The sequence below is a fragment of the Homo sapiens genome, chromosome X (assembly GCF_000001405.40).
Source record: "Homo sapiens chromosome X, GRCh38.p14 Primary Assembly".
In the NCBI taxonomy this organism is placed as follows: domain Eukaryota; kingdom Metazoa; phylum Chordata; class Mammalia; order Primates; family Hominidae; genus Homo; species Homo sapiens.
Window position 1 is genome coordinate 42467286 of NC_000023.11, and position 12492 is coordinate 42479777.

Below are 12492 nucleotides of genomic sequence, written 5' to 3' on the forward strand. Positions count from 1 at the left end.
CCCTCTTTCTGTATTTTGTATTTTTTTAAATGGCAATTTTATTTTGTAGTGAAATAATGCTATAAATGTAATATTGGGGGGAAAAGCTTTAGCTCAATACTTGGTTATTCAGTTATAATTTCTGTCACATATTAATCAGATTTCTGCTGAGATAATGATGCATAAAAAACAATGCTCCAAATCTCAGTAATTTACCAAAAAAACCACAGTTTTTTTTCCCTCACTCTTTGGTCTGCAGGTTGACTGGGAGAGCAGCAAGTAGGTGCATGTGAGTGAAACACTGACATGGGGTGGGGCCAGCAAGGAACAGGTGGAAGAAGACGAAGACCCCAGAGGTGGGCAGGTGGCAGGTTTACAAGGGCCTTATGCAACAAGGAGACAATGGGGAACCCCAGAGCTTTTAAAGTAAAGAAGTGGCAGGATTTTATTTTAGAGAATAACACTGATGTTGTATATAGAATGGGCCAAAGCTGGAGTCCCCTGGAGTCAGATGTCCACCCAGAAGGGTGTCACAGGAGTTGAGGCAGGAGCTAAGGAGCCTATGAAGTAGGACTTTGGGCCGTAAGGAAGGGATGCAGAGCACAGATACTAGAAATTCGTTCCAGGAGGCAAAAATCGTCAGTCTATTCTATGTAGGGAGTAAGGGGAGGAGAGGCTAGGGTGAAACCAACATTCAAAGGCCATCTAGGAAGAGGGTGGTGCAGCCCTGGAGAGAGTAGGCGAGTTCAGTAGAAACCGAGGAAAAGGAGGACCTTGGCATCCTGCAGACCCCTCCAGGATAAAAAGGGAAGGCGTGAAAACTTGTTTCCTTAGCCAGAAAATTAGTTCAGAATGTGGGAGAGGCAACTGACTACAATGATGATGATGGCAGCAATTACCATTCATTAGGTTGACAATGAGCCAGATGTTGTCTCTTTTTATTGCATTATTTCATTTGAATCTCACAACAATCCTATGGAATAGGTACTATTACTATCCCCATTTCACAGATAAGGAACTGACATGCAGAATTGGTAAGATTCCAAAGACACCCAGCTGATAAGTGGTAGAGCAGAAATTTGATTCCAGGTGTGTCTGCTTCTTCATCTCTGCTTGGTGAGACAGTTGTTACCCCAGTGTTAGGCTGATATTCAGGTAGAGCAGACTGGCCTATGACTAGAGGGATGATTTCACACTTCTCTGAAGTCCTCTTGAAATAGTCTGAATTATATAATTCAGTGCCTTTATTTTCACAATCATTGTTCGGTTGATGGATTGATTGATTTCAGTGGTTTCATGACAATCATCTTCCTAACTAATAAAGTTCACCCCTTACAAGAGTAGTGTCAGGCCTCTGAGCCCAAGCCAAGCCATCGCATCCCCTGTGACTTGCACATATACGCCCAGATGGCCTGAAGTAACTGAAGAATCACAAAAGAAGTGAAAAGGCCCTGCCCCGCCTTAACTGATGACATTCCACCATTGTGATTTGTTCCTGCCCCACCTTAACTGATTAACCCTGTGAATTTCCTTCTCCTGGCTCAGAAGCTCTCCCACTGAGCACCTTGTGACCCCTGCCCCTGCCCACCAGAGAACAACCCCCTTTGACTGTAATTTTCCATTACCTTCCCAAATCCTATAAAACGGCCCCACCCCTATCTCCCTTCGCTGACTCTCTTTTCGGACTCAGCCCGCCTGCACCCAGGTGAAATAAACAGCCATGTTGCTCACACAAAGCCTGTTTGGTGGTCTCTTCACATGGACTCGAGTGAAAAGTAGCACTTTTCACTTCACAGATATCTTTCACATGCATCTTCTCATTTGCTTTTTATAAAAATGCTGATGGGAATGCAGGGTGGATATTATGATCACCACCTTTTAGTCCAAAGGTCAGCAGAGATTTTCCTTAAAGGGCCAGATTCTAAAGATTTTAAGCTTTGTGAGCCATATAGTGTCTGTGGCACTACTCAGCTCTGCCATTATAGCATGAGAGCAATCATAGACCAATACAATACAATACAATACAATACAATACAATACAATACAATACAATACTAAATTATTGAGCATAGCTGTGTTCCAATAAAACTCTATTTACAAACATAGATGACTGTCTATATTTGGTATGTGGCCATAGATTGCCAACCCTTGCTCTAGGTAAATAAACTTCCATGCAAAGTGATTAAATGATCCTCCCAACTTTATATAGCTGGTAGAAGTATGAATGGAACCTAGACCTCTTGCTTGCTTTATTCATTTAATAAATATTTATTGAGTCCCCATTATGTGTCAAGCACTATTGTAAGTACTGGGGACAAAAAAGGTCCCTAGCCGCAAGGACCGTGCATATTTTGGGGACACATATGATGAACAAGTAAATGAGCAAAGAAGATAACTTCAGAAAGTGAAAAGTGCCATAAGGAAAATACAACTGTGATAGAGGGCAACTGTAGCTACAGGAATCAGAGTGATCCAGTCTGAAGCAGAAAAATGTGAACTGCAATCTGGAAGAAGAGAATAAGCAAATTATGCAGGGATTTTGGGATGATTATTCCAGGCAAATGGAATAGCCAGTGGAAAAAAAAATAAGTGTGGCTAGAGCAAAGTAAATAAGGAAGAGGAGATCTGAGAAATAACAGGGGGCAGATAAGGGCAAGAATTATAAACCATGGCAAAAGATGTGGATCTTATTTGAAGTGAAGTGAGAAGTCAGTGCTTTCCTGGTTTTAACATTCCATCCTTCCTTTTGTGTCTCCTCTGCTGCCCAAGCACGAGGCAGATACTTTCAGAATATATTGGTTGATTGATGGGTTCTGTCACTGAGGTGCCTTCAAGGCATGAAAGACTTAACACGCTGGGCTCATTGAAGACCCTTATGAGGGGACATATTTAGTAGATCCTCTTTCATTGTAGGTTTCCAAGAAGGCTGTGCCTAATGCTTTTTTTCAGAGACAGCATGGTGGCCCTTTGTTCTCTCCTGGGGTGATTCTGGGCATCATCCAGACCATCTGCTCTGGCCCCGGCTCCCTGGCCATATAGGCTTTGCCATCATTTGACAAAACACTCCAATAGCTAGGAGTGAGATGTCTCTGACATCAGAGCCACTTTGTCAGGATGAAACATCATGGTGGATTAACAGTTTTGTGGCAATCCAGTTCTAAGTGTACAATTGACCAGCTGTGAGGAAGCAACTCAAAGAGTTGTTGGACTGGTGAAATCAACTTATGTATGTTCAAGTCCTAGTATACTGCCTGGGCCTTAGAGTGCCCAGTGGAAGTCAGCTGCCTTTTCTTCCCAAATGCTCTTGTATTTAGTGTTTACTGGCCATGTCCCATTGAAAGCAGTGATTCACTTAGCATCCTCATTTCATTAGGGCTTACAAAATACTAAAATATTTTAGGAAGCCTTAAAGTAATTGAAAGTAAACTGATGCAGTTCGGCCATCTCTGAAATTATTGACTTTTCAGAGAGAATTGTTTTGGTGGATACTGGGATGTTCCTCCACCCAGATTCCCCTTCAACAGAGGATGGGTTGTCCCAGCCACTGGAAGTGCAGTCAGCAGTCAGCCTTCAGTGTCAGCTGCTTCAGAGATTGCCTCATGCTACAGAGAGGAGCCTCACCAACTATTTTGGCCCAATTTGGGACAACTCTGAAGGCTCCAGAGCTTCTCAAGGAGGTTAGCTGAAGCTGTTGTTGAGCTTGCTTCACAGCTCAACTTCTCCCTCTATCCAATCCTGCTGCCGTCTCCTTCTTTCCACAAGTGTAGATCCTAAGATCATTCTCTAAAAACCATCACGCATGGTTAAACTCCACCCAGAGTCTACTTTCCAGAAAACCCAACCTGTAACAATTGGGTACAGGTGTCAGTGTTAGCATTCCTGTGATCTTCTATTTGTGAATTTGGTGCTCATGTAAAGTACTTCCTTACAATCGTTAGCATTTATGTCCTGTGTCTGAAAGGGTATATGACCTATGTATTGTTTACAAATGACTTTTCTTCTGTAAAGTTTAAAAATGACAGAAATGTCAAATATTCACTGAAGCACCTGGAACATATTTCTCTATGTTATAAGAGCTAAAAGAATTTTAAGGGATCTTTGATTACTAAATATTCATTAAATATGAATGACATGGATGTATATCAAATGAGAGGTTAATTATAGACTTATCTATGAGGTTATGTATCATATCAGCATGCAAGAGAAGGAGAACATCCTGGCATTTGAGGGGTTAATTCAGGGTCAGAAAGATTAAGAAATTTAGAAACGCATAGAAAAGATGGTATATCATATTTATTTGAATCCCAGGCTACTGAGAGTTTGCAAATGCTTTTAAATGGTTGTACATGGCAGCCTGTGTCCTTAGCAGAGAGTGTCCTTGGGCAAATTAGTCTTAGAGAGGTTAAATGAGGGTTGTTGTGGTGATTAAATGAGAAAATGGATAGATGGTACATGGTAAGTGCTCAATAAATATTAGCTTCTGCTGTTGTTGTTATTCAAAGTGGCATCTGGCTAGCAGTCCCCAGGGAAGGTTCTCTCAATATCTAACAAAAACACTAATGAAGGCCTAGGGGAAAAAAAATAAAGCTCCCAACGTGGAAAATAAGACTGATGGGTAATCTAATACCAGAACCATGAAAAAACTGGAACTAATTCCCGGACAGAAGGAGCTGGGTTTGGACACAAAATCAACTTCATAAAAGGTAGAAAAATAGTTCGTGCTTCTGTCACTGGAGATTCAGGATTTGAACTAGCCAGAAACTTAGGGGCATCTCTCTTTTCTCCTGGGTATGGGAAGAGACAGTACATCTACAGGCAACAGGTTGGTAGGGTATTATTTGCATGGGGCCTTTGTAGGAAGACCCCAGGTAGCAGTGTAGGCTGAGAATTGTAGTATTTGACATAACACATCAGTTCAGAGTACCAGAGAACCAGACGGTGAGGTAGGGGGAAGACGTCAGATTGCAAGGAACAAAGGCACACAAAATTAAGTTCCACTTAACTTGCTCATCAACTTGTCATTTTGTTATAAATAGTAAAAGAGTGTTTTACCACTAGCATGGGACAGTGTGCAGGACAAAGGACTAGCTAAGACGAATAAAGAAAAAAGTAGCAATGGGGCCTGTGAAATATACCACAGAACAAGGAAACAGACAGTATCTAGAAGATTCAGGAGAAAAACTTCTGATAATTAAGTGAATCCAGAGGAAAGCCTCAAAAAACTATTTGACATTTGCAACAGAGCATAGGAAGACATAATCTTCATGAAATAGCTGTGGAACATTAGAAGGACGGCACTGAATATTATTTAAAAATTTGATTATAAAATCAAATTAAAATGTCAAAAATTATTCCAAAATGAGAAAATACATGATTTTAAGAAAATGATAGACTTAAAATCCTTTATTATGTTATTAATAAAAACAGGTTTATTGGGCCCTGGTAGTGAGGGTCAGGAACATTAGACTGTATTGTATCCCTTCTCTCAAACAGAGGAAACTCAAATGATATAATTTCACTGCTCATTCATAAGGATTAGACAGAGTGCAAAGCGTTTATAAAAATAACTTCTAAATGACTATTAACAGAATTAAAGTCAATTATTGTCAAAGAACAGAAAGCAAAAGAAACCAGAAGGAAGAACTAAAAATAGGAAGGCATAGAATAAGATGACAGAAGCCAAATTAGTGATAACAATACTGTAAGTAGGTTAAACCAGTGGTTTTCAAAATTGTAAGCACTTGAAGCTTATTTTCAAGTGAAATACTATGTTTAATCACAAACTACAAAGCTCTACTTTTTTCAGTTGCATGTGTTTATTATAAAGCCAATTAATGAGACCAAAGTTAATGAAAAGTAGCCTCCACTGAGTGCATACCACCAATCCTTGAGCTGTCAGTTTTTTTGAAAATTGATCTGTAGATGAATGCAATTCCAATCAAAATATTGTAGGTGTGAAAAAGGAAAGCTTCCCCCTTCATCCTCTGAAGGCTTGCTGAAAATGAACTGACGAAAGGCAAATTAATAGGAAAAAAAGGCATAAAAAATGTATTTTAACATGTATAGAATGGGAGAATTTCAGGAGAATGATCACTCAACAACTCAATGGGGGTACAGATGCTTGTACCTTTTTCTTTTTTTTTTTTTTTTTTAATTTATTTTTTTATTGATAATTCTTGGGTGTTTCTCACAGAGGGGGATTTGGCAGGGTCATGGGACAATAGTGGAGGGAAGGTCAGCAGATAAACAAGTGAACAAAGGTCTCTGGTTTTCCTAGGCAGAGGACCCTGCGGCCTTCCGCAGTGTTTGTGTCCCTGATTACTTGAGATTAGGGATTGGTGATGACTCTTAACGAGCATGCTGCCTTCAAGCATCTGTTTAACAAAGCACATCTTGCACCGCCCTTAATCCATTTAACCCTGAGTGGACACAGCACATGTTTCAGAGAGCACGGGGTTGGGGGTAAGGTCACAGATCAACAGGATCCCAAGGCAGAGGAATTTTTCTTAGTGCAGAACAAAATGAAAAGTCTCCCATGTCTACTTCTTTCTACACAGACACGGCAACCATCCGATTTCTCAATCTTTTCCCCACCTTTCCCGCCTTTCTATTCCACAAAGCCGCCATAGTCATCCTGGGCCGTTCTCAATGAGCTGTTGGGCACACCTCCCAGACGGGGTGGTGGCCGGGCAGAGGGGCTCCTCACTTCCCAGTAGGGGCGGCCGGGCAGAGGCGCCCCTCACCTCCTGGGCGGGGCGGCTGGCCGGGCGGGGGGCTGACCCCCCCCCACCTCCCTCCCGGACGGGGTGGCTGCCGGGCGGAGACGCTCCTCACTTCCCAGATGGGGTGGCTGCTGGGCGGAGAGGCTCCTCACTTCTCAGACGGGGCAGCTGCCGGGCGGAGGGGCTCCTCACTTCTCAGACGGGGCAGCTGCCGGGCGGAGGGGCTCCTCACTTCTCAGACGGGGTGGTTGCCAGGCAGAGGGTCTCCTCACTTCTCAGACGGGGCGGCCGGGCAGAGACGCTCCTCACCTCCCAGACGGGGTCTCGGCCGGGCAGAGGTGCTCCTCACATCCCAGATGGGGCGGTGGGGCAGAGGCGCTCCCCACATCTCAGACGATGGGCGGCCGGGCAGAGACGCTCCTCACTTCCTAGATGTGATGGCGGCTGGGAAGAGGCGCTCCTCACTTCCTAGATGGGATGGCGGCCGGGCGGAGACGCTCCTCACTTCCCAGACTGGGCGGCCGGGCAGAGGGGCTCCTCACATCCCAGACGATGGGCGGCCAGGCAGAGACACTCCTCACTTCCCAGACGGGGTGGCGGCCGGGCAGAGGCTGCAATCTCGGCACTTTGGGAGGCCAAGGCAGGCGGCTGGGAGGTGGAGGTTGTAGTGAGCCGAGATCACGCCACTGCACTCCAGCCTGGGCACCATTGAGCACTGAGTGAACGAGACTCCGTCTGCAATCCCGGCACCTTGGGAGGCCGAGGTTGGCGGATCACTCGCGGTTAGGGGCTGGAGACCGGCCCGGCCAACACAGCGAAACCCCGTCTCCACCAAAACCAGTCAGGCGTGGCGGCGCGTGCCTGCAATCGCAGGCACTCGGCAGGCTGAGGCAGGAGAATCAGGCAGGGAGGTTGCAGTGAGCCGAGATGGCAGCAGTACAGTCCAGCTTCGGCTCCGCATGAGAGGGAGACCGTGGGGAGCGGGAGACGGAGACGGAGACGGAGAGGGAGGGAGAGGGAGAGGGAGAGGGAGAGGGAGAGGGAGAGCAGAAACTTTTCAATTTAATCACTTCTACTACCCTAGTCTCTCTCCAGATGCTTGTACCTTTTTCATAGGGGAAGGGAAGTGGGGGAAATGTGGCAATTTGAGGGATAGTAAGTGATTTTTAGGGAGAAATGAATAGGCCTAATGCTAAGACAATGGTAAGCAAATAATTTTCTTTGGAAATTGAGTGGGATAGAGAGTAGACAAAGGTTTGGGATGAAGTTTTTCTGGGGTTTTAGATGTGATGTTGACGTTTTAGTCTCTTTAGGTCCAGTAGCAAGGGGAGGTCAGAGAGATTTTGAGGCTGTTTAGTTCAGCTGTATTTCAGAGTGAGGTGAAATATTCTGGTTTCCTTCATAACAATGCAATTTTTATTAGAAAGTGACAAAATGAGTCTAAAGAACATTTTGGAAAAATAAAGAGAAAATAAGCCACAAAGACCTAAAAAGAAGAGTATGAGGGGGGTGAAGTTGCTATGCCAGATATTAAAGCATACTGAAACACTCTAATAATTAAAAGTGTGATACCAGCTCCAGAATATCCATAGAACTTTAAAAACCCAACTATATGTGCATGTGTTTATATTTTTTAATTTAGAAAAGATTGCAATTCAACTCAATTAGGAAAGTATGGATTATTCAACAAGTGATATTAAGCCAGATGTTTAACATTGAGAAAAAATTCAGTTAACAAAATTAATTATAAATGTATTAAAGACAAAAAGTTTAAAAGTGAAGACATAAAAGTAAGAATAGAATATATAATATAATATAAGATAATATAGAAAATAATATATGCTTGTGGTGGAGAATAACTTTCAAAACATGACATCAATGGCTTATACCAGAGATTCACTGCTGAATTTAGAATGTAGCCATGCTCATTCATTGACATATTGTCTATTGCTGTTTTTGACCTACAAAAACAGCATTGAGTAGTTGCAACAGAGACCATTAAGCTGGCAAAGCCTAAAATAGGTATTTTCTGACCCTTTACAGAAGAAGTTTGCTGACACCTGTCATAAACCATACAATAATTTTATGTGGTCAAATCTAAAAACCTTAGCACAGAAAGTAACATTGTAAGCAACAAGGAACTGGGAAGAATATTTGTAGTATATGTGGCATAAAATGGTTGCAATATATATGTTATATATATAAACAGCTTTTACAAAAAACTAAGAAAAGTTGTACACTAGTAGAAAAATGGTCAAAATACAGAAACAGGCAATGCACAGCATAGGTATGATAAATAGCCAGTAAACCCATGTTTAAAGGAATGTATTCAAAAAATACCACAAACAGATATTAGCAGGGGCTCCCAGCCCCTTGGCTGTGGACTAGTACTGTCTGTGGTCTGTTAAGAACTAGGCTGCACAGCATGAGGTGAGGAGCAGGTGAACATTACCGCCTGAGCTCCACCTCCTATCAGATTAGCAGCGGCATTAGATTCTCACAGGAATGTGAACCTATTGTGAACTGCATATATGAGGGATCTAGGTTGCATGCTCCTTATGAGAATCTAATACCTGATGATCTGAGGTGGAACAGTTGCATCCTGAAACCATCACTCCTCCTCCCCCTGTTTGTGGAAAAATTGTGTTCCCTGAAACTGGTCTTTGGCGCCAAAAAGGTTGGGGACCACTGGATATTAGGAAACCAAAAGAAGAAAAATACTCAATGTGGGCCAAAATATGGAAAAACAGAGTCTCATGAGCTTTTGGTGGGTGTGAAAACTGAAGAGGAATTGGTAGCATGTAGGAAAACCTTTAACATGTATATACCCCCCCCTTTTTTTTTTTTTTTTTGTGATGGAGTCTCGCTCTGTCGCCCAGGCTGGAGTGCAGTGGCACAATCTCGGCTCACTGCAAGCTCCGCCTCCCGGGTTCTTGCCATTCTCCTGCCTCAGCCTCCCCAGTAGCTGGGACTACAGGCGCTCACCACCATGCCTGGCTAATTTTTTGTATTTTTAGTAGAGACGGGGCTTCACTGTATTAGCCAGGATGGTCTCGATCTCCTGACCTTGTGATCCGCCTGCCTCAGCCTCCCAAAGTGCTGGGTTATAAGCGTGAGCCACCACGCCCGGCCGTATATACCTTTTGATAAAGCAACTCCACTACAAGGATTTACTCTAAGTAAGTAGCTAAGGAGTGGTACAATGATTAAGTTCCAAGGATGTTCATTACAGGATTGTATATAATGGTAAAACATTGGAAGCAAATTTAAATATAGAAGCATATGGCATTTTTTAAGTAAATTATCAACTCATGGGATAAAATTTTCTAAGCTATTGAGATTATGTTGTTGGACTCTTTTTTTTTTTTAAAAAAAAAAAGCACAAATGTTCAGAATATATTCCTGAGAATAGAAGCTAGGTCAAAAAACAACGAATACTTTGTAATTGCATTTTTGAAAAGAAATTCACATAAGAATTTTTGGCAAACATTGGTTAATATTAGTTATAGCTGCCTTGTGGGATAACAGATGACTTTTATTTTCTCCTCTTTGCTTATTCATATGTAAGTGTTTTATTGAACTGTCTCATCCCTGTGGGGTATGAAGAGGAAATGGTTTTATTTTTCTCCATTCTAAGCTCTCACTCCCACAACTGTGCCATATGAAAAATCCCTCCCTGCTGGCTCACAGACTCCTTAAGGACATCTTAGGATGATTCCTTAACTTTGCTTTTTGGATATTAAAAATCTGTCCATTTCATTTACCCTTCAGAACTTTTCTCTTTCCCCAGGGCCTGAGAGGTTTGTGGCTTGAGGGGCGTGAAGTGAATATGGTTTGTGGTGAGCTCCTCTGGGATGCTCTTTCTCTGCCCCTTGCTCTTCCTGCTACTTATCTGGTATGGGCAAAGGAAAGGAGGCGGAATTAGGGGAAAGAGCCAGTTACTTAGCTGGGCTCCCTTGCAATCTGCTTTTGGTCATTGCTCCTTCTCTGACAGGTCCTAAGTGCCCTCCTTTTGAGGAGGTCAAAACCCCTGCTCTCCTAAGGGGCGATGAGATGTGTACCATTTGCCTCTTTTTTTATCTGTTCCAACTCCTGCTTTCTCTCCAGGCCTGCTCAACCACTAGGCTTCTGGGGTGGGGACATCTGCAAAACTTGCTCAGCTTTGCTTCCTTTGCAGCCATTCTCATGACACATGCAAAACTCAGTCATGAATGGCAAACCAAACTTGGGAAGTGCAAGCTGCTTCACAGTAGCTCTGCTGTCTCTTCCACTGCTCTTCCCTGCTCAGCAGGGCACAAGGATGGATCAGTAAGTCCTCTCCCTACTTAGATTTCAAGACAGGACCTGGTACCAGTCTCCACCTCTTCCAGGGAAAGCCAATGTTACTACTGGTGATTCCCTTAGAGCCTCTCCTCTGGCTTGACTTTCTTCATATTTGGTTAGCTTTGACAAAAGGAAGTGCTCCGGTCCATTGAAGGGTAGGGAGGAGAGAGAAGGGAATTCAACAGCCCTCCTCACTTCTACAATGAGCTAGGAATCCAGAAATGTCCCCCTTTTTCCTCTCCCTGTCCCCTCTTATAAATCAGGGATTATGGAATGATGAAAATCCTAGTGGGATTTTTTTCTTTGAATATTTTAGGAAGTTCTTTGTGAAGAATGCACTGATGAATAATGTTATAAAATGTGAAAATTTGAAGTTATTTGAATGTTTTTTGAAATATTTCCAACTGCCCACACATTATAAAATGTGTGGGCAGTTGGAAAGACTTGCTTGACCAGATCTCAAACACATTATACAATTACAGCATAATTATGACCAAAAATGTTGAATGATCAATTTTTAAGAGAACACATAGCCCTCGAACAGATTCTAGCATATGGAAGACCTTAGTGCGTGCTAAAGGAAATATCAGACTAATGAGAAGGGATGACATATTCAACAAAAGTGCTGAGAAAATTATCTTGGAAAAAATATTATGTTACATTCTCGTACACCAACATAAATTTCAGATGCATTTAGAATTTAAAATGTAAGCATGAAAATTCTGGAGGATAAAATAGGTAGTTGTAGAACTGATCTTAAATTGAGTAAACTATTTCTCAGCCCCAAAGCAGTGGAAAAAGATACAAAGAAAAATATGATCATTTTCTGAAAAGTAAACATATGCAAGTATGTTATGGGTCTATTGAAAACTCCATCTAAATAGAAGCAAGTGAGATATGTCAAATCCATTCTAGTATAACAGGACAGACAACAGGCTAGTATATTTAACACATAAATATACTACCAGTCAGCAGTCAAAGCACTAATGTCTTCATAGAAAAATGGGCCAACACAGAAATAGAAAGGAAAGTTGTATTCATGACCCCAAACGATATCAAAAACATATCTGACCTCCCTAGTAATAAAATACTGCAAGCTGGGCACAGCGGCTCATACCTCTAATCCCAGCACTTTGGGAGGCTGAGGTAGGAGGATTGCTTGAGGCCAGGAGTTTGAGGCCAGTCTGAGCAACATAACAAGACCCAATATCTATAGAAAATTAAAAAATTAGCTGGGCGTCGTGGTGTGCACTTGTCCCAGCTATTCTGGAGGCTGAGGTGGGAGGATCACTTGAAGCCAGGAGGTGGGAGGATCACTTGAAGCCAGGAGTTGGAGGCTGCAGTGAGCTATGATCATGCCACCACACTCTGGGCAATGGCGCGATACCCTGTCTCTACAAATAAATACATACATAAAATAATGCAAACCCAAGCAACAATAAAATACCTTTTCACCTATAAAATAAGA

At 42.5% G+C, this 12492-nt stretch overlaps 1 annotated feature.

The window, feature by feature from the left end:
* Positions 6694 to 7230: an enhancer, noted in NCBI's record as "H3K27ac hESC enhancer chrX:42333231-42333767 (GRCh37/hg19 assembly coordinates)". NCBI's record gives its function as "activates a minimal SCP1, AML or CMV promoter by ChIP-STARR-seq in primed H9 embryonic stem cells {active_cell/tissue: H9 hESC(primed)}" and the evidence as "EXISTENCE:reporter gene assay evidence [ECO:0000049][PMID:30033119]".